Source organism: Homo sapiens, chromosome 8 (genome assembly GCF_000001405.40).
Source record: "Homo sapiens chromosome 8, GRCh38.p14 Primary Assembly".
Taxonomy (NCBI): Eukaryota; Metazoa; Chordata; class Mammalia; order Primates; family Hominidae; genus Homo; species Homo sapiens.
The window spans coordinates 122,334,359-122,357,700 of NC_000008.11; the positions used below are offsets into that span (position 1 = coordinate 122,334,359).

The window sequence follows — 23,342 nt, forward strand, 5'->3', positions numbered from 1 at the left end:
TTTGAATGTTCTTTTGTCTTAAGTATGTAGTTATTGAGAGAATTGGGAATATAAGTAAAGTTTAACTTAAACTTGGAATTATAAAACATAACAGATATTAGAGTAGAGAATATATAATATTTAATCTCACGTCTCCAAAACAATAAATTATCATATTAAGATAGTTCTAATTGAAAATTGGGATGAATATCTTCTGGCAATATGGCTACTCTTAGACACTTAAATATGCATCATTAAAATGGCCAAAAAATGAAGGAAATATATACATATGTATATGTATACATTTGTACACTTATCATTAGGATAAGATTAAATAAACAAGATTAAATAAAACACACCCACCTCCATATACATCATAGTAAAACTGGAGAACAATAAAGAAAGGAGATAATAAAATAGCCAGAGTAAAATCAAATCACCTAAAAATCTATTGATTATCATATTTACAGCTGATTTCTCCTGAGCAACAATGGAATTCAGAAGACAATGGAATACTATCTTTAATGAGATGAAGGAAAAACATCCAGACCAAGAAGTTTATACTTGGCAAAACTTATTTTTAAGAACAATCTCAAAATAAAGATATATCTAAGAAAGATAGAAATATCAAAATTATGTGCATAAAATAATAACAGTGATTATTTTGGGGCATTGTGATTGTCACAATATTATATTTATACATAAGTGCTTATGGTAAGACATAGGTGGCTGTGGCTTTGCATGATAATGTAGGATCATAAAACTGCCATGCAAGCTGAAATCTTACAAAGTGACCTTAATAATCAATGGAGAAAATTAAATTTGTTCCATGACCTTTAAAAGTTTTTGTCAAAACATTAAATAATTTCTTTCTGTCAGTTATAAATATATAGCAAAATGAAGAAAATAATAAAACTAACATTTATTAAATACCACTGTTATTGAAAACATTAGAAACTTTGTGACTAAAAGTGTCTTATTCTTTGTAAAAACTCATCAAGAGTGGTCTGAACAGTGCTTGCCTTCTTCTCATTGTATAAATTAGAACACAGAGCAAACATCTTTCTCATGCCTTGACAAATTTTAATGCTCAATTCTAAGTTTGTATCAGCTTCCAGCATTGTATCTTTTGTGCTTTCAATGTGACCAAGAATTGGTTTAATATATTTTTTTGCCAGCATCACCTACTCTGGGGTATCTTTTGTCACTACCACTTTCCTCATTTATGTTGACAAGTTCATTTTCACTAAGTTTCTCTAGCTGTGTATCTGTAGTCTCTTAAACAATAGTAATGTCAAAATTCTCACAGGCAACTATTTCTTCTATAACTCCATTTACATGTGATTCAAATTTCACTGGCATCTTTGTTATTTTTTGGGTTTTTTTTGCTGCACTTTCACCTTTGGCCAATTCTCTTATGATTTCCATTTTTTAAAAATGCTGCGCTAGTTTATTACTGGAAGACTAGGGTGAATACTACATGCTTTGCCATTTATAAATAAACTGAGCAACAGGTATCCAGTGACCAATCACTGTCAGACTTTGAAAAAATGATGTGATTGGTAACTGATCAGATTAGCATTGATTATTTTCACATTCATTTGTAGAATGAAGAATTAGGAGCAAAGTTTGTATTTATGCAATTACAGTTAATATAGCATGGTTAGTAAAATGTGCGCTGTGCTGATGTAAGGTTTGTGTGTGTGTGTATGTATATATATATTTTTTTCTTTTTTTTTTTTTTTTTGAGATGGAGTCTCTCTCTGTTGCCCAGGCTGGAGTGCCGTGGTGCGAACTCGGCTCGCTGCAAGCTCCGCTTCCCCAGGTTCACGCCATTCTCCTGCCTCAGCCTTGTGAGTAGCTGGGACTACAGGCACCCGCCACCACATCTGGCTAATTTTTGTATTTTCAGTAGAGATGGGGTTTCACTGTGTTAGCCAGGATGATCTCGATCTCCTGACCTCGTGATCCAACCACCTCAGTCTCCCAGAGTGCTGGGATTACAGGCGTGAGCCACCACGCCTGGCCTAAGGTTTGTATATTTAAGTAAACCATGGTAACTGAAATTTGTGCATATCAGAAACATGCAAAGTGAGGATGCTTACATGTGATAAGCTGTATGATTCAACTATATTTCCTACAATTAACATGTATCACTTTTGAAATAAATATGACAATTTTCAGACCAACAAAATTTGAGAGTGTTTACCACCAACAGTCATTAAGAAAAGTAATTCTAAAGGACTGTGCTTCTAGTAGAAAGAAAATAATAGCAAATAGGAGATCTGAGATGCAAGAAGGAAAGAGGAGAAAAAATATTGTAAATATGTGGGTATATCTTTTTAAATGACCTTATTAAAATGTAAAATGCGAACGAACAAGATAGAATTTAAACACTGGGGAAAAATTCATTAATTTGGAAGAGTTGTAATCAGAAATGAATTATTCTAATATATTTTACTGTGCAGAATAAAAATAAAGATATCAATTACTTTAAGTATGTATGTATGTTAAAACAGCTAGAGTAAGCAATAAAAGAATATAGAGAGAGCATATACATTCCCAAAACTGGAAGAAAGAAAATAGAAAAGAAATAAATTAGAAATTTAAACAACAGAGACAGAAAGAAGGGGAGAGATAGATATAAAATAAACAGAAAAAGTAGAAAATAAATAGTAAATTGGAACTAATAATATCTATTTCACACATTGCATGAAGATTAAATAATATAATGCATGTAAACATTGTGTTTACTAGTGACAATTGCATTTCAGGCATATATCAGGTGTTTAATACGTTAGTTGAATCTGAATCAGAGGTTCATTATGCATGTGGGATGAAAGAGGAATTTTCCCTCTTCCGAATTTCTGAAATAGATCTTAGAGCCAGATCAGATTTGAAAATAAGTGAATGCAACATTAGCTCTACAACATTAAAATGTGCAATTGCTTGTCTACCAAGTAGTATATTTGTGACATGTAGAATTTGCACACACAGTATAATTATAATACACTTATGCAATTTTGGGTTGGGTCTACTGATAGAACCTCTGGGTGCTCCAAATGGCTGGCCATGAGTTTAGTACTAAAGTCTTAAGATACACAGGGCCTTAACTCTAATAGCCACCACTGGAGTTCTTCACTAGGTTGATGTCCATGTCCAGTGAAAAAATGCACACCCAGTGCCTGTCCTCTCTTTCTTAGAGATCTTCAGATCTGGAGCAAATAAAACTTGGTTCTCCTTTGATCATGGCTGGCGGTGGGTGGTGGGGGAAGATGGGGGGTGTGGCAGGGGTTCCTACCTTAGAGTACAGAATTTAATTTTGGATCTGGTAACTGGACTGAGTCCAAGTGAGCTAGTAATCACTCGAGACAGTGAACTAGGTTGAAACAGAAAACTAGGATAAAGCCCAGAGAAAATTAAAATTATTAAAATTAGGAAAAATTACTGCCATGAGAAACATCAAAGAAGTTTGTTGCTTATCCTAGGAAAAGAAAAAGGTTCATCATGGAATATGATATATTTAATAAAAAGTATCCACCCCATAGAAAACTGGTGGTTGATATAAAACAGGTTTTGGGTTTCATTTAAGAATGCACATGGCAGGGATTTTCATAAGGCACTAAGCATAGATTCTCCAATGTAAAAGTGAGTGAAAGCAATGTTACCAACAAAGGTCATGAAGGTTCTTTCTCTGAAGACTTTGGGGAATAAGAGAAGAAAAAGGAGAACTACTTTTCCTTGAGCACCTATTCATAATGTGGCAAGACAAGATAAGGGTATAGATATAGGTTTGCTATGTAAGATGCGGGCATGGATAGATAGATGATAAATATACAGTTAGAGAAGAAGACACAATGATTTCTGAACAATCATTTGAGAATGAAGAATTATCCATCCCATTTTATTTACAATCATTTGAGAATGAAGAATTATCCATCCCATTTTACACTAGAGAAAACTAAGAATCAGAGATATTTAGAATTTTGCCTAAAGTCATACTACTATACAATGAAGGAACTAAGACTCCAGTTTAGGGCTCTCTGATGGCAGTTTCTCTGCTCTTTACTCTATCCCTACTTGCAGGTCTGTTTGAGCTGATTTCACTGAATGCAGTCCTGCCTCCAAGTGAGTGGTAGCATGGTAGACAACCCAAGCTTTTCTAAACTCATACTTAAGATTTTTTCAGTACAGAAGTGGCAAATATTCTCTGTAAGGATCAGAGAGTAAGTGTTTTATGCTTTGCATGCCATATGGTCTCTGTCACAACTGTGCTGCCATTGTTGCATGTAAACAGTCATATATACCATAAATGAATGAGCATGGCTGTGTTCCAATAAAACTTTACTTATGGACACTGAAATGTGAATTTTATTTCATTCTCAGGCATAACAAAATAGTAATCTTCTTTTGATTTTTCCCCAACCATCTAAAAATGTACAAAATATTCTTAGCTCATGGGCTTTACAAAACAGGAAAGCAGGTCAGATGTGGCTGATGGGCCATAGTTTGCCAACTCCTAGAAAAATCTACAGGAGGCCATTGGCCTCTGTGGCTTTTACTGCCTAGTTTGCAGAAAGTGAAAGCAGTCTTCCTTGATTAGGCAGCTGAATAAAATCTGGGCTGGAATCTGCTCGAAAACAAGTAGTTTTAATGAATGGTCTTCCTTTGTCTATGCTTGGCAAGATTGTTTGCAATCAGGCATGTTCTTTGGATTACATTTAGCAGTTGGAGGTAATCACACTAGGCATTGGTTCATTAGCTTCACAATCAGAAGCTTTTGGCATCAAGGATTTAACAGTCCAAAAAAGGCCACTGGTTAGAAAGAATGTGAATTCAGTCTTTAATCCCAAATTCTCCTGGAAAAAAAACAAAATATCTGAATAAATATTATTGACAAGTCACTTTTCAAAAATAAATATATCTGGAGAAAATATGAAGTTCATAAAAATGAAAGTTTGACAAGTATGGGCATGTCTTGAGCTCCTGGGAATTTAAAAGGAGATAGACCATTTTCTTAAAAGGTTTAGGGATTAGGAAAGAGCACATATCAGATCTGAGGTCTTCAGTGGTTTTCAGTTCTTTCAGTTCTAATTCAAACAAAACTTGAGACTAATTATTCTGGCCCTATGGGGTTTACAGCAGGAAAATACTCAGTTTTAGGTTTACCAGTTTGCTTATATTGCAAGTATTTTAGGAGATAATTATTGCACAAATCCTCAACTCCTATTTATATCTCTACCTGTTGTATAAAAGCAACCACCAAGGACAGCTTGAGATTTGCTTCTTCCTCTAAAATCAGAGTCCTGGACTCAAATTAAAGTTTCTATTCAATAGCTGTTGACAGGAGCAGGGGCTACCTACTTTTTATTCCTTCTGGAAAGAGATACCAGGCCATTATTGGCCTTAAATATTCTTGCCATTCATCCAACAAACACTTGTTGAATGTCTATTTTGCTAGTATACACATAAAAATGGATAATACATTTTATTACTAATGTACACATAGCTCATTCTCTTGCATTCAGCAGGTGTCTAATAAATGTCTAAATGAATGATTTAATTTAATCAGTGAATAAGTGACTTTTCAACAAAAGGGATTTTGTCGTCCAAGCTGAGTATTCAGAAGGGGTAGTATCCATATTCTTATGGATCTTTATTTTATAGAAATTCTTATTCTTATACATTTCCAGGAACTATTGGACACTTCCTTTGTGCCAGTAGCTCATTTTCCCTATGAAAGAAGTGCTAATATGATTCTTGTTTTACAGACAGGCAACTGAGACTAAAAAGATAAGTAAATTGGCCAAGGTCATGCAGGAGGGACCAAACTAAGACCAAACCCCATTTCTGTTTGACTCATAACTCTAAGCACTAACTACTACTCAATGCAGCCTCTTAATCCACAAGCTTCCCATTTTTTCCCATTGGAAAGCTGACAAGAGAATGATCACTTATACCCACTCTACTGCACAAAGTACCTTCACTTCCATTCTGCTTCAGAACATTTCTGAGGAAAATGGGAGATTCTCAGAGGCATATACAAATTCAAAATCCAGGAGAATAAAAGCAGTTGGACTGGGCTTCAGGTAAACAAGTCTCAGGAATGCTTCCCTTCACTTTTATTTTTTCCAACCCTGGTATTAACCTATACATGGATTCTATTTGCCAATTTTCAATCCTGTCTTGTCCTTACAGAATGCCTTTCACTGAGTTTTTAGATTTTAAGTCTTTCTTTTGGGTGGCAGAGAATAAGGAGGATGAGCAGTGATTTATTATGCACTTAGACAAGAACCTGCCAAGCCTAGGATCGAAGATGCAAACTGTGAATTAGCCAAATACACAATACATTTTGAATGTAAGAACAATTTTTTATGTTGGGGGTGGAGTATGTAAAAGACAGTAAATGTCTCCTCTTTTCTTAAATATTTTTCAGGAAATAAGCTCACTTTTCCACAGAGGATGGTTTGATTAATGGTGTAGGGTGAACATACTCAAATACAGGTAAGCTAGTCACAAAAGATCATATAGGTTCAGCCAAATAAGAAATCAATAGAGCTTCAGTGAAAAATAAATTTAAAAATATGGTTCCCTACTTCAATTTGTATAAACTCTGAATATCTTTTCTTTGAAATATCTGTTGTATAGAATCTGATTGTGCCTGTATATTCTGAGTATGGATCAAGTATTAAAGGAAAAAGAAAAAAAACCTTCCCCAACAAAGTCAATAATAGTATAACAATTCACCATGCATTAATTATGTAAAACAGAGACCACAAATGTTCAACTTACAGGCTTGTTTAATCTACAGACACATTTTAGCAGGAACAATATTATTTTCAAATATCTGATTTTCTAATGTTTAAACATTCATGTAAAAATGCAATTTGGAGTTTTTAAAACAACTTCTCAATGATAATTTATGTATAGTGACAGTCAGCTGCCGCTGAATAGAGGCTGGTCCCAGTAGACAGATTGTGCATACTCCAGTAAAATAATGTACATTATCTGCCAGGCCCTAAAGAACTTGAAATCTCAACCCACTGATGCCAAAAAGTTGACAACTTTTCATTAAATTATACTCTGTTTGAGGAGAAAAGATAAATCCTTAAAACTTTAAGTTGAGATTTTACACCATAAAATAGTTTCTTCCCATCTTTACCCTTGTCATATTAACTCCCTTCTATGTTAGAATACTTCCATAAAGAACAACTGCTTCATAGGCTGGGCACAGTGGCTCACCCCTGTAATCCCAACATTCTGGGAGGATAAGCAGGGAGGATCGATCACTTGAACCCGGGAGTTCAAGACCAACCTGCACAACATAGCGAAAACTCTGTCTCTACAAAAAAATATAAAAATGAGCCAGGCATGGTGCCATGCACCTGTAGTCCCAGCTACTCCAGAGGCTGAGGTGGGAGGATCAACTGAGCCCAGGAGGTCGAGGCTTCAGTGAGCCATGATTGTGCCTCCAGCCTGGGTGACAGACAGAACGAGATCCTGTCTCAAAAAAAAAAAAAAAAAAAAAAAAAAAGAACAACTGCTCTTAAAGCAAGTAGGTCATACCCTGTGGGTTTATGTGAAGAAGCTGAGAACATCTTTAGATACTCAAAGCAACTGAGAAATGGGAAAATGTGAATGCCTGTTCTATTACATATTTGATATTCGCCTCAGGGATTATTGAACAGAGTTCAGTTGGCACTATTGGTTTACACTGATCAAAGTTAGTTAAACTGATTATGAAGCACCTTTTGACCTAATTATAACAGAGCAAATAACTTCCATACAATAAGAGGGTGACTTTGGGTGGTTGTTTGAAAACTTTTCTAACATAGATGAAATCTTTTCTCCTACAGAATCTTACATAATCTAAAATGTAAAGCAGATAAACTCAATGCTGCTGCAGTGAGGAGGGATTTCACATTCTTTTGGAACAAGTGCACAGCACTTAGGACACAAGAAGTAATTTTTTGTGTTTGTTTGTTTAAGAGACTGAGTCTCAGTCTGTCTCCCAGGCTAGAGTGCAGTGGAAAAATCATAGTTAACTGCAGCCTCAAACCTCCTGGGCCCAAGTGATCCTCCCGCCTCAGTCTCCCAAGGAGCTGGGACTACAGGCACACACCACCATGCCCACCTATTTTTTTTTTGTTTTGTTCTAATTTTTTGTAGAGACTGGGTCTCACTATGTTGTTCAAACTGGTCTTGAACTCCTGGCCTCAAGTGATCCTCCCTCCTCCCAAAGTGCTAGGATTACAGGCATGAGCCACCATGCCCAACCCAAGTAAGATTTTGAAAACCATGGAAAAAGATTGTACATTATAGTTGTAAGTTACTTTCAATTCTAAATATCTATAATTCATTGACACTAGGGTAACTCCTGTTTCTCATAAAGTCCTCTTACTAGCCATATGACCTTGGCAGGTAACTTAATGTCTCTGAGTGCTTTTTTCATACAATAGGATAATAAACGTGACTGTAATATACAGAAGAAAAGAGACATATGTGTGTGTTTCTGTGTGCATCTTGGGTCCATTCCTTCTCCATCACCAACATAATAGGTTCAGATAAGGTTGATTCCATCCCCTGATTCCAAAAGTGACACAAGACACAGGCTGAAGCTAGAAAAATCATATCTAGGAGCTGTCAGCAAAGTGCTGCTTTTCCGGGGTTGCTGAATCAATAAAATGTAGATGATCTGAAGCTATTTGCAGGCATATTTACCACTGTGTGAATAAGAACCTACCTGAGAATGATGCCAACAGAAATAAACACAGAAACAAGGAAAAAAGAGGGAAACCTTGCTGACTGTATTGCTTAAGCATCTGGATCCGCCCATGCCCAGAACTATCGCAGATTTTGTTACATTACATGAGTGAATTTATTTTCTTAATTTGGAGAGCTAGTCCATGTTGATTTTTCTTTCATTTGCAATCAAAAAAGGCTAATAACAGGATCTTAACTATTAGGTAGCTCTCTTAAGAGTGAAGCAAGTAATGGAGATGGAAGCAATGTGTATTTTAAGTGCTAGCTTTGTTTTCCTCAGATTAGGTATTTTATGACCCATTATCCTAACTCAAAGCGAATTTGTATCTATTACCATCAAATTTTACAAATATTACTATTTCTGATTCAAGATGAGTAAAACAACTTGTGTCTACTTCTTAGTTATCTGTTTTTGTTCACAGGTCATACTTATTTCATCTTCTACTAAGCCTTTAATGTGTAACTATTTCCAAACAGCAGCAGTTCTCCCAATTATGCTGTGAAAATTCACTACCAATGTTTGCCATCAGCAAGTAAATCACAGATGACAGATCATTGGAATTTTTCAGATTACTTTTGATTTTCTGAATGCCACGGCCCTCTCCATTTCTAGACTGTGAATGGGTTTATGTTAGTATTCTAATGTATTGTAAAACATAGAAATGGACAAGATCAAGAAGAAAAGCTTGGGATGTAGGACTAGAAAAACACTAAGAAAAAGTTTGATTACCTCAAGGGTAGAGAGAGAACAGTGAAGAGTATTTGAAAAGTAGAAACCTAGTGTTATCATAGAAACTATGGGAGAAGACTTGCGAGTATTTCAAAAGTTACATAAAATAGAGAGAGATGAAGATGGGAAAATGTCCACTGAAATGGTGATCTAAGCTAGAGCATTTTCAGTACAGTTACGGAGGTGGAACTAGATTCAATGGAAAAAAGAATGAAGGAGAGAAGGAAGTGGAGGTAGTGATTACTGACTATTTGTTGAACGTCTGCAGATGGGAAAGAAGGCTAAGTTAAAAGGAATTTTTTAAAAAAATTAATGAACTGATGGAAATTGACCCACTACCATATATTAATCTACTTTCTTACACGTCGTGCAATTAAGTTAAAAACTGAAACATCGATACAGCCTCTGGATTGTTCTGATAATTCATGATTTCAAATAGACTATTCTTCTTGAAGATAGAGATAATTCCTTCTAATTATTCGAATTTTCCACATCACATAACTCTGAATGGAGCAGAGTGGCTGGCTATGGGATTGAAATAACCATGTGAATAAACCAATTAAAAATGCTAATTCTGTCACAATTAATTAAAACTGTTTCAGATTATCTTATGCCTACTATGTGAGAGTTCTTTTAAAGGAAGAAAATTCTGAGGTAATGGAACAAATTTGAAGGATTTTTCTTCTTTAAGCATCCAGGGAATAATAAATTTATAATCAGCAAGCATTAATTCACAAAATATGTTTGACTAGAGAAAACAATGTCCATTCTTTTAATTGAAACACTAACTTTATGCCTGAAGGAAAAGGTTATATGGATTGCATATTAACAGTTTTAATAAAGCAGTATGTGAGGAAACAGTTACAAATCTGAGCATAAATCTTTCTTAGCTACATCATACATGATGTCCATACTGTCTTAGGTCTAGTTTTTTGGAAGCAGAGCCTAAGGCAATAGTATTTGTGCCAAGTATTTAAGGACGTGCTCCTCAGGGAGCTGGTAATGGGAATAATGAAAGCAGAATAGGGAAAGGGGAAAAGCCAAGAAAAGACAGGATTTCAGGCTGACTTCCAGCCTCACCTGGCCTACTTTACTCTTATACCAGCCAATCATTGGTACAGGCCACTGCCCGATGGGCAGTCAGGCAGTCAGTAGGTAAATTCCCAGATGGAGGTTGCGGGGGAATTCCTGGTGGGAGGGAGTGGCTCCAATAGCTCAAGAGTAACCCTCTAATGAAAGCTGAAGCTAGTTTAGCAGCAAAGCACAGAATTAGGGTGATGGGTGCATAAAACCAGTATAAGGGATCAGAGAGGATCTAGAGAGAGCATCAGCACTGCTCATGCTCTGGAACAGCTACTTTGGAGTGGCTCACTCAGCCTCTCTTCTACTCTCATTCTATTAGCTCACTCAGCCTCTCTTCTACCCTCATTCTATTAGAGAAAGCGGAAAGTCAAAAACTTAATTTTGCTGATTTCCTTGCAGCTAAGTTTCTGTATCAGATATAGGTTCTATGAGATGTGGAAAGGGAAACAAGGTGGAGAAATCTTCCTGCAGATTTTGGCTATTGTTGCCATCTAGCAAGGTCATAAAAAATGTGAGTATTCCTGAGTAGTGTTATGATGTGCATTCCCCAGCATTGTGCAGGTCAAAAAGCAGTGATAGAGCACCAGAAAGAATAAAATACTTAGGAATAAACTTAACCAAGGAGGCAAAAGACTTTTACACTGATAATGATAAAATATTTTTAAAAGAAATTAAAGACACAAATAAGTCAAAAATCATTCCATATTTGTGGATTGGAAGACTTAATATTGTTAAAATGTTCATATCAACCAAAGTAATCTGAAGATTTGATGCAATCCCAATAGCAGTTTTTGCAGACTAGAAAAAAAAAAATCCTAAAATTTATATGGAATTTTAAAGGTCCCTAAATAGCCAAAACAATTTTAAAAGAACTAGCATAACTGAGGTATCAAATTTCCGGATTTCAAATCATATTACAAAGCTACAGTAATCAAACAGCCTGGTAGTGGCATAAAGACAGACATATAGACCAATGAAACAAAATGAAGATCCCAGAAACCAATTGTCACATATGTGGTCAAATGATCAATCATACCAAGACTACACAAGGGTGAAAGAATAGTCTCTTCAACAAATGGTGCTGGAAAAACTAGATCTCCACATGCAAAAGGATGAAGTTGAACTCTTACATTGCACAGTATGCGAAGATTAACTCAAAATGGATTAAAGACCTCAACGTAAGACCTGAAACTACAAAACTCCTAGAAGAAAACATAGAGGGGAAGTTCTGTGGCGTTGAATTTAGTAAAGATTTCTTGAATATGACACCAAAAGCACAGGCAACAAAGCAAAAATAGACAAATAGGACTACATCAAACTTAAAAACTTCTACACAGCAGAAGAAACAACAGAGATAAAAGGCAACTTACAAAATGGAAGAAAATATATGTGAGCCATATATCTCATAGGGAATTAATATCCAGAATATTAAATAACTCCTACCACCTAATAACAAAAAAGTTCAATTAAAAATGGGCAAAGGATTTGAATAGACATTTCTACAGAGAAATACACAAATGGGCAACAAGCATGTGGAAAGATGCTCAACATCACTAATCATCACAAATCAAATCTACAATGGGATGTTACCTCACATCTATTAACATGTTCACTAGCAAAAAATAAAAAAAAAATAACAAGTGTTGGTTAGGATGTGGAGAAATTGGAACCCTTGTGCACTGTTGATGGGAATGTAAAATGCTGCAGCCACTACGGAAAACAGCATGGAGATTTATCCAAAAATGAAAATGGAAGTACCATGTGATCCAGCATTCCCACTTTAGGGTATGGATCCAAAAGAATTGAATACAAGGTCTCAAACAGATATCTGTACTACCATGTTCGTGGTAGCATTATTCATAACAGCCAAGAGGTGGAGTAATCTAAATGTCTATCCACAGATCAATGGATAAATAAAATGTGGTTTATAATACAACAGAATATTACTTTGCCTTAAAAAAGAAAAATCCTTTCACCTGCTACAACATGGGTAAATCTTGATGACATTCTAAGTGAAATAAATAAGCCAGTTGCAAAAAGACAAATACTGCATTATTTCACTTATAAGAGGTATCTAAATAATCAAACTCTTAGAAATAGAAAGTAGGTTGGTTTTTGCCTGGGGCTGGGAGGAGAGGAAAGAGGGAGTTGTTGTTCAGTGGGTATAAAGTTTCAGTTTTGCAAGGTGAAAAAGAAATCTGATGTATAGCAGTATGCATATAGTTAACAGTACTCAACTGTACACTTTAAAATGATGGTAAATTTTATGTATGTGTTTTTTACATTTTTTTAAAAAGGCATTGACAATGGTAGAGGCTACTTGTGCTGACCGTCTATTACTAAATTGAATCTCTGAGTGTTCATTCTCCAGGTTCTGGTAGTGACAGGTTGGTGGTATAGCTCTAGCTGCACCTTAGAAGGGCTCCTCTAGAGCAGTGGCTCTCATATTTTAATGCAGCATGCACAAATCACTGGGGATTTTACTAAAATCAGATTCTGATTCAGTTAGTCTGGGGTAGTGCCTGAGATAAACAAGCTCCCAGGTGATGCAATGCTGCTGATGCTCAGGCCAGACTTTGAGTATCAAGGCTCTAAGATCAATTCTGTCATTCTATGCCAAGTTCTATTCTGGGTTAGTGCTAGAATGGTAAACTCAAGGCAAGGTGTGTGTTTTCACTAAGCTTACATAACGTCAGTGAGAGACAGTCAACAAATAAATAAATAATAAATAGGTAGTGAAAAGTGCTCTAAGGCAAGAGGTTGATAGGTTGATCAGGGATGCAGGTTTAAACAGTCACTAAATTTGATACATTTACTAAATTTGATACATGCAATGTATTTGATACATCATTGCATACATGCAATGATGCCTGGGTCTTAGAGAAGGAACAAAGTGAGCAAGGCAATTGTGGTTCTCATGATGGGAAGGCCAGTCTCGCACATGCGTGAAAAGCCCAGACAGGGAAGCAGTGGAGAAGGGTATCTTCTTCACCCTGAAGGTGCTAGTTAGGAGAAGCGAGTCTTAGGACATTTGCCTTAAAGAGCCAGCCAATCCGATAGACAGATGACAGGACTTTGATGTCTAAACGTTTACAGTTGTAGAATATAGGCAGTATGGCAATAAAGTCAATGTGAATCAAGAAAGAAGGGTGAAAGGACAGAAGAGAAAGAAGAAAGGAGGAAGAAGAGGATGAGTTTGAAAAAGAATGGATGAAGAGAAGATTCAGAAGTAATAGTAAAGAGAAGAAAGTGGCTGTCTGCAAGTCACAAAGCTCCACCTACTGATAGGAGAAGTTTCTGCGTTAAACATTAATAGAATCTCTTGCAGGAGATAGAAAAATGATCCAATAAAGTAAATTGAATGGGTGTTAGGATCCCTATATTTCACTCCTAAGTGTGTGACCTCAGGCAAGCCACAACATCAGGGAGCCTTGGCAGCACAACCTGTATAGCCATACTTCCTAGAGAGGGCTTCAGAAAGTATTAGCTGAAGTGGCAAGTGTGGAACCAACGACAAATAAGAGAACTCACTAGGATTTAGAGGCCATTCATTCTCCTCTTATTTACCATTCTGAGTTGACACACTTTTTGGGCCCTATTGGCCCCCAGACAAGCCTTTCCCTGAAGTGGGAGGGTTAATTTTATACTTTGATCAACTGTAATACTGCAACAATCCACATTGTTTTCATTCTCTCTCATCTGAAGTCCTACTTCAGCTATAGCTATGGCACCGTGTAGCACTTAAAACCTTTTTTTCTAGTTTCAAGTAGATGATGTATAGTTAACTTTTATTCATTGACTATATTCCATCTTGTTTCATAAGTATTTCAAGATTGCTTAAAAAGGCATATATAATAAATGAAAGTGTTAACTTAAAAGTAATGTTCTGAGAGTAGAAATTAAATCAAGAGTACGAACACATCAGATTCAGGAGTGAGATTAAAAGTTAATATCATCAGAGCCCTCAGGCTTTTGGCTCTGAGCTTTCTGACAGCCAAATGTATGGCTCACCATTTTCCAAAATGGGAAAGCTGTCTATAAAATGACAACTAAACAATTACTTACTAGAAGAATAGCAGCTCTTACTTCCATGAAAATCTTGCTAGAAAGGACTCTGTGAGAAATAATGATCTACATCCTTAAGAGACACATGATGGAAATTCTTTCTTATACTCTTCAGAGTAGCCTGATACATCATGTTAAAATTAATTCAATAAAATCAATTCTGGGATAACTGTGGATATAGGAACAATACTTCCATTTGTGTTGAGATTTTGTCACACTTGGCTAATTCTTTTAAAGACTGTATAATGGCATTTAATGGGGAAAAGAAGAGTCTAACAGTGAGGCATTTCTGGATTTAAATACCATCCCCACTGCTAAATAACTTTGCGGTCCTAAGCAATATTTTAATGCTGCTGAGTCTCAGCTTTCTCACTTTCGAGACTAAATGATGAACAGGAAAGCAGCTAGCATGGGGCCAGGCACATACTAAGTTCATTTTCTTGCTTCCTTCTGTAATCTTCGCAATGGCTAGCACAAGCCTCTAGAATTAGTAGGCACTCAATAAATATTTGCTCAACTGCATTCTGGCCTCTAGTATACCCTGGCCCTATTAAGTCCCTGAGGCCCAAAGGGACTCAAGGCTAAGTCCCTTGGGCCATCCTCAAAATGTAGATATCTCAGTGTGAGATTCTCTGATTTTTCTTAAAATCTGATGCCATGTAGGCAATGCTGTAAGATTGTAGACGCCTTAGAGTGGGCAGTTTCTAAAAGGGTTTCCAATGACCCCTGCTTCTGGTATTCATGGCCCTTTGTGTAATCCCCTTACCATTGAGTGTGAGCTGTATCCAGTGATTCGTTTCTAATGAATAGAACGCTACAAGGTGACAGGATGTTACTGCTGAGATTAGCTTACAAATGGCTAACTTCCATCTTGCTAACATTGCCTGCCCCCCCACCCTTCTCTCTCTCTCTCTCTTTCACCCCTCCCTACACACACACACACACACACACACACACACACACACACACACACACTCACACAGTTCTTCTTGCCTGCTTGCTCTTACAAAGTTGCCATGTTGTAAACTGCACTATAGGGAATCTCATGTGGGAAAGGAGAGCTACCTCCAACCAACAGCCAGTGGTACTGAAGCCTTAAATCTAACAACTCTTGAGGAACTGAATCCTGCTAACAACGATGTGAGTGAGTTTGGAAATGGATCTTTCCCCCATCAAATCTTTATATGATTGCAGCCACAGTTAACAACACCTTGATTATACCCTATGGGAAAAGCAGATGGCCCAGTTAAACTGTGTCCAGATCCCTGGCTCACAAAAACTATGACATAATAAATGTGTATTGTTTTAAGCTGCTTAATTTTGGAGTATTTTTATGCAGTAATAGATAACTAATATATATATTCCTTTAGCCTAGTGGGCACAAAGCCCCATCTCTGCTCTGACCTAGATTTCATTGTTTCCTAATGAGTACAAGATAATCACAGACAAAATAGTAACAATGGGAAAACAATATTGTACGCAAAGCTAATCTGAAATTTGCAATCCTCTTGATTTTAGCTGGTGTTTTAGGCAGTAAGGGAAACTCTGTGGTTAAGTTTTGAAACCCTGACCTTGCATTTGTAAGTGACTCCCAACTGGATTAATGAAATTTGAGCCTTCATTCCATTTCTGAGTGGTCTTCCAGCTATTCTCCTCCATAGAGCTTCCTGGAAAAGTCCTTAAAATGCAGCTTTAGTGCCACAGGCATTAAGAAAATAGTATTACTATTAGCCTGTCAAATGCATAGAATTACAGATATTAATAAATCAATCCTCAGGACCAATCTATAGAATAATGCTGGAAATAAAAATGCTTCCCATTGAGAAGTGTTGTGCATTCATTAATAAGCAGATTTTCCCTACCACTCTTTCTCTCTCTCTTTCCCTCTGTGAGCCCTAGAAAGATTCACAAACTTGGTTCTCTGGTGACTCTTTCCTACCCTATCCCAGCTACATTCCCCCCAACACACACACACACACACACACACACACACACAACTGAGATTTTACATGTGGGCAAATAACCCTTAGGAAAATGGTGGCATTTTTGACACATTGACAAATGTTTAAAGAATGCGCATTCTTATAGGACGTCCCGGTGATTTCTATGCACATCATACTTGCGAAGCATAGCCCTTACTTCAGTCTCACAGTTCGTCATTCTTTCCTAGTAGACTTCCATGAATTGTCCAGACAATATAGACTCACGAGATTGATTTCTGAATCTTCCTCCATGTTCTTCTTTCCCTATCCCCAAATTGAGAAGGGTTTGAGTAAACACTGTTCCCCTTGGGTGCAGGGGTAGTCAACAATCATCTAAGTTAGGTTAATCTTATGTTCTTAATACGTACCATATATTTTGAATTATAACTAGTGCATGTGGAAAATCTTTAAAAATTGAGAAAGTATTTGGAAAAAAACCTTGTAACTTCCCAGCTAAGCAGTTACCGTTTAGCTATACTGTCTTTGTCTTTCCTTCATGCATATGCATAATATATATTGAAATAATAAACAGTAAATATACAAATTCAGTCCTTAAGGTAGAATTCAATTTATACTATTTACACTTTTGTTTCAACTAATAATAAACAATAAACATTTCCACCTGCATTAAATCATCAAAATGTGACTTTATTGTCACATGGTACTACATCATAAGTTATGTCAGGTACATACTTTTGATTTAAGAGAAACATGCATGTATCCTCCACAAAACTGAGACATTATTTAAGCATTGTCATATTTTTCTTAAGGATAGAACAGTGCTGAGCACGTAGTAGATGCCTTCAGTAATATACCTTGTACTGAAGACAGGATGTCTGGGCACCTTATAAATATTTAATTGAATTTTCCCTCATAAAGAGTTATGTTAACAAAGGTCTTCAATCTACATATAATAAGTAATTTCAAAAAGGTTCAATGACAGATTGTATTCTTCTTTGATATAGGTGTATTTTTCTTTCATATAGGTTTCATGTTTCAAGAAGGTTTGGGACTATTGTGGTAATTCCCAGGGAACTTCTGATTTGGTATAAGTTCAGTACAAAGAGATGCTTTGAGGTAATATCACAAGTGGCAGTGGTATCACTACAATTTGGGTGATTTCTAAATAAAGTTACATATGGTTTGGCTGTGTGCCCCACCCAAATCTCATCTTGAATTGTACTCCCATAATTCTCACATATTGTGAGAGGGATCCAGTGGAGGATAATTGAATAATGGGGGCAGTTTCCCCCATACTTTTCTCATGGTAGTGAATAAGTCTCATGAGAGCTGATGGTTTTATCAGGGGTTTCCTCTTTTGCCTCTTCCTCATTCTCTCTTTGCCTGCTGCCATCTATGTAAAATGTGACTTGCTCCTCCTTGCCTTATGCCATGATTGTGAGGCTTCCCCAGCCATGTGGAACTGTGAGTCCAGTTAAAACTCTTTCTTTTGTAAATTGCCCAGTCTCGGGTATGTCTTTATCAGCAGCATGAAAACAGACTAATACAGAGTTCATCAGATAAGCCTGCTAATTGCTCTGTACAAATTTCAAAGTAAAGTCTTGTCTCTCCCAGTGTCCTACATTTCATCATTTCACAAAAACTCATCTCTGTGCCATCTAGTGTTAAGGAATCTGTTTCATATCATAATGCCCTTTCAATGGCAAACATTTAAAAAAGAATGAGTATCAGAAACCTAGCTCCAACTACTGGACTTGTATCTAGAGAAAGGTATCTCAACCTCAGCACTATTGGTACTGTGGGCCAGACAATTCTTTGTAGTCAGAGAATGGGGTGTCTTGTGCGTTGTAGGATAATTAGCAGCATCTCTGGGGTTTATCCACCAGAGGCCAGTAGCAAAATCCCTTCTCCCCCCAAATTGTAACCAGAAATGTCTCCAGATATTGTCAAACTTCCTCTGGGTGGACAAAATCATTCTCCTGTTTAAGAACGATTGATCTCATCACACCTACCAGGAATGCTAGCATTTTTTTTTTTTTTTTTTTTTGAGACGGAGTCTCGCTCTGTCCCCCAGGCTGGTGTGCAGTGGCATGATCTCAGCTCACTGCAAGCTCCGCCTCCCAGGTTCACGCCATTCTCCTGCCTCAGCCTCCTGAGTAGCTGGGACCACAGGCGCCAGCCACCACGCCTGGCTAATTTTTTGTATTTTTAGTAGAGATGGGGTTTCACCGTGTTAGCCAGGATGGTCTCCATCTCCTGACCTTGTGATCGCACGTCTTGGCCTCCCAAAGTGCTGGGATTACAGGCGTGAGCCACCGCGCCTGGCCTAGCATTTTTTTAAAAAAGGAAAATAACAAGTGTCAACAAGGATGTAGAGAGATTTGAACCTTCATGCATTGCTGGTGGAAATGCAAAATTGTGCCGCCATTGTGGAAAATAGTCTGGTAGTTTCTCAAAAAGTTAAACATAGAACTACCATATGACCCAGCAATCCACTTATGGGCCTATATATAAAATAATTGAAAGAAGGGACTCAAACTAATATCTATAGACCAACGTTCAAAGCAACTTTATTCACAACAGTAAAAGGGTGGAAATACCCAATTGTCTATCAACAGAAGAATGAATAAACAAAATGTGGTATGTACATACAATGGAATATAATTCAATCATAAAAAGAAATGTAATTTTGATATATGCTATAACATGGGTGGACCTTGAAAACATTATGTTTAGTTACATAAGCCAGAAGGATGATATTGTGTGATCTCACCTATATGAAATATCTAGAATAGCCAAATTCATAGAGGCAGAAGGTGGAATAGAGGTCAATAGAGGCTTCAGGGAGAGAGGAGGGGGAATTATCATTTAGTAGGTACGTGTTATGGTTGGGATGAAAAAAATTGGGAGGTATAATAATGGTGATGAATACATAGCATTGGGAATGTATTTAATGCCACTGAATTACAAACTTACAAATGTTTAAAATTATAAACATTGTTATATACCTTTCACAATAAAAAAAACCAAACGAAAAAAGAATTACCGATCTAGAGTAATCATTTACATTTAGGAAAATAGAAAATAAGCCAAACATATACATAACTTTTCATTCTTAAATGTGCACAGCTTTTAAAATTTATTTATTTATGTATTTATTTATTTTAGATAGAAGGTAAATGGGGAGAAAAAAGAAAACGCTAGCCTAGGAAGTTAATACACCTATATTTTTGCCCTAATTCACTGTATAAAGGAAAGCATGTTATTTCACCTCCTTTATCCTCCTTCTCATCTATAAATTATAAGATTTACATTAATAGCACAATGATCATTTGTAGTTGTACATTTCCAGATTTAATAATTCTATGTATGAGCCTGTGAAAATCAGCATTGAATAAATTATGAGAAATCCTGATAAGAAGTATCATAACCTCAAGATACAATTTTAAAGCACTTCTTTACGCAGAAGTATCAGAAAATGGTTAGGCATTTCTGCCTAACTCTATTGAAGTTTACAAAGTGTAATGATCCGAAACCTACAATCTTAAAACAATATTTCCAATGCACAAAGATTTCAGTGTTTCCTGGGGGGAAGTTTATTAATTCTGCTTTCCAACTTAAAGGTATAAGATTATTTAAAACAGCACCCCTGTTTTCTTCCTTTCCCCATTTTCTTTGTCATACACCTTCTTTATTACCCACTTCTCTCTCATGTAACAGAAAGTTTAAATTCCAAAAGTTATATGAGAATATCATTAGAAGTATATTTATTTAGGGTATGTTTAGCTACAGTACTCACAAATAATAATAATGGTGATAATTACTATAAATAATAGCTAACATTCTTGAGTGCTTCCCTGTGTGCCATCTGCATTATTATCTTTAATGCAATATCCTAAGTCTTGCAGCCATCATATTAGTAGATACCATTATGCCTTCCATTTCATAGATGCAGAAACTGGTCTCATAGCTATTGCACAATGAAGCTGGGATCTAAAAACTAGGTATTTCTGAAGATAGAGTCTGAACTCTGAGCTGAGTCTAATGGTTGCCTTGTCTCAAGCCCACGGCCATCATAAGCAAGGAATCAAGAGCACTTATCATAAGTGGAGAGGAAGTGGTATGTTACCCTGTCTGTTTGCAGGGAATGAGTAAATTCATTGATAAATTGATAAATTAATGAATAATGGCTGACCAAATCCCAACACAGGTAATATCTTTCTCAGCTTGAAAAGATCTGTTATGAGAAGGGGCCACACTGAACACCCACTCCCAAGCTTCTTTCTATAACAGAACATACTAAGAGCAATTGCTTTTTAAACTATGTTTAATTGCTCTTAATACTTTAAAAGTATTAAAAATAATACTTTTAATATTTTTGCTTTAATACTTTAAAAGTATCAAAAATAACTTCAGACAGAATAAATTATTTTTAGATCCTTGGCAAAGAAAGGATAGAGTCATTTCATCTACTACACACAAAGCTGGGTGGTTTTTGTTTGCTTTTTTGGTGACTTACAGAAACCACTGCCTTGAAAAAGAATAGAGACCATCACCTTATCATACCACATTTCTTCCTCCTCCCAACTCCACTGGCTAGTTCTGCCCCAGCCTGTAAAACCAACAGACAGAATGCTTCTTAGATACATCTTTTGGTCTCTTCATGGCCTCAAGGTTGGATGTCTTAGGGTCTCTCTTTCCTAATGTCCCCTTGAGCCCTTGTGTAAAGATGGTTTCTCACATCTGAGCAGATATTCTAGTCGCTTACCTTTCTCATCAGTACTCCATCAAATCCTTCCATACTACCTTTTGAATATCAGGAGGATAAGGTTTTTAAATGAATCAGAAAAGCCTGATGACTTAAAGTCTTTTTGAAATATTTTATATCACCAAGTTGCCTGACGACTTACCAACTTACCAGGTTAATTCATGTGTATTTCTGAATCTTTCCATTTCCCCCTAACAGGGAGATAGATATTCCCATGAACACAATTGTATGCCTAGATTGAGATTGGATTACTTTTCAGGCACTTATCCACAGCCTGCAGATGTAAGTAAAAAATATAGACACAGAAAATCATATTGTGTCAGTGGGGTACTTATAGCCTTGGCAGCCTTGATCTTTTAGCACACCTCTAAAAGACTGTTTTTCTCATTTAGGAAGGTTGAAAAAATAGATGCCTTTGAAGCTAGAGACAGATGTAAAACTCCTCTACATCTAACAAAGTTGGCTCAGACCTAAAAGCAATCAAAATAAAATAGAATGAAAGGCTTTAAATTCCTCACCATTTTAGCTCTTTGTTGATAAATCTCTTGGAATGGATTATTTTCCAAGCATAGATATTTCTTCCTATTTTGCTAGAGTGCTTTTTGTCTGTGATTTCAGAAAAGAAGAAAGAAACCCAAAATTAGAAGGAAAAGAATAATTTTCCATTGTATCCAAGATTTAGGCATTTTCTTATTTTTATTAATTTTTATTTTAGGTTCGGGGGTACACGTGCAGGTTTGTTATATAGGGAAATTGCATGCCACAGGGGTTTGGTGTACATATTCTTTCATCACCCTAGTATCATAAGCATAGTACCTGATAGGTAGTTTTTTTAATAAAAACTCACCCTCCTTGCACCCTCCACCCTCAAGTAGGCCCCAGCGTCTCTTGTTCCCTTCTTTGCATCCACGTGTACTCAATGTTTAGCTCTCACTTATAAGTGAGGACATGTAGCATTTGGTTTTCCACTCCCAGGTTAACATGCTTAGGATAATGGCCTCCAGCTTCATCCACATTGCTGGAAAAGACATGATCTCATTCGTTTTATGGCTGTGTAGTATTCCATGGTGTATATGTACCACATATTCTTTATCCAGTCCAATATTAATGGGCACTTAAGTTCATTCCATGTCTTTGCTATTGTGAATAGCACTGCAATGAGCATACACTTGCATGTGTCTTTATGGTAAAATGATTTACACTCATTTGGGTATATAACCAGTAATGGGATTACTGGGTTGAACGATAGATCTTTTTAAAATTATTTGAGAAATCTCCAAACAGCTTTCCACAATGGCTGAACTAATTTACACTCCCACAAGCAATACATAAGCCTTCTCTTTTCTTCACAACTTCTCCAGCATCTGTTATTTTTTGACTTTCTAATAATAGCCACTCTCACTGGTATGAGATGGTATCTCATTGTGGTTTTGATCTGCATTTCTCTAATGATTAATGATGTTGACCATTTCTTCATATGTCTGTTGGCCGTGTGTGCATCTTCTTTTGAAAAGTGTCTGTTCATGTCTTTTGCCCACTTTTCAATGGGGATGTTTATTTTTTGCCCGATTTGAGTTACTTATAAATTCTGGATATTAGACCTTTGTCACATGTATAGATTACAAAGATTTTCTCCCAGTCTAGGTTGTCTGTTTACTCTGTTGATAGTTTCTTTTGCTGTGCAGAAGCTCTTTAGTTTAATTAGATCGCATTTGTCAATTTTGGGTTTTGTTACAATTGCTTTTGGCATCTTCATTGTGAAATCTTTGCCAGGGTCGATGTCCAAAATGGCATTTCCTAGGTTATCTTCCAGAGTTTTTATAGTTTTAGATTTTACATATAAGTCCTTAATTCATCTTGAGTTGATTTTTGTATATGGTGTAAGGAAGAGGTCCAGTTTCAATCTTTTGCATATGGCTACCCAGTTACCCTGGCACCATTTGTTGAATAGGGAGTCTTTCCCTATTGCTTGTTTTTATCAACTTTGTGAAAGATCAGATGGTTGCATGTT

The 23,342-nt window shown here is 36.4% G+C and overlaps 1 long non-coding RNA gene across 1 annotated transcript in view; it reads right to left on the reverse strand.

Annotated features, from left to right (window-relative positions):
* Positions 1 to 4,330: 4,330 nt before the first annotated feature.
* The window catches only part of LOC105375733 (uncharacterized), a 41,305-nt gene continuing 22,293 nt past the window's right edge, over positions 4,331 to 23,342 (reverse strand). Inside the window, exon 2 of the long non-coding RNA XR_928599.4 lies at positions 4,331 to 4,838. This is a non-coding gene — a long non-coding RNA (uncharacterized LOC105375733). The remainder of the gene's footprint in view (positions 4,839 to 23,342) is intronic.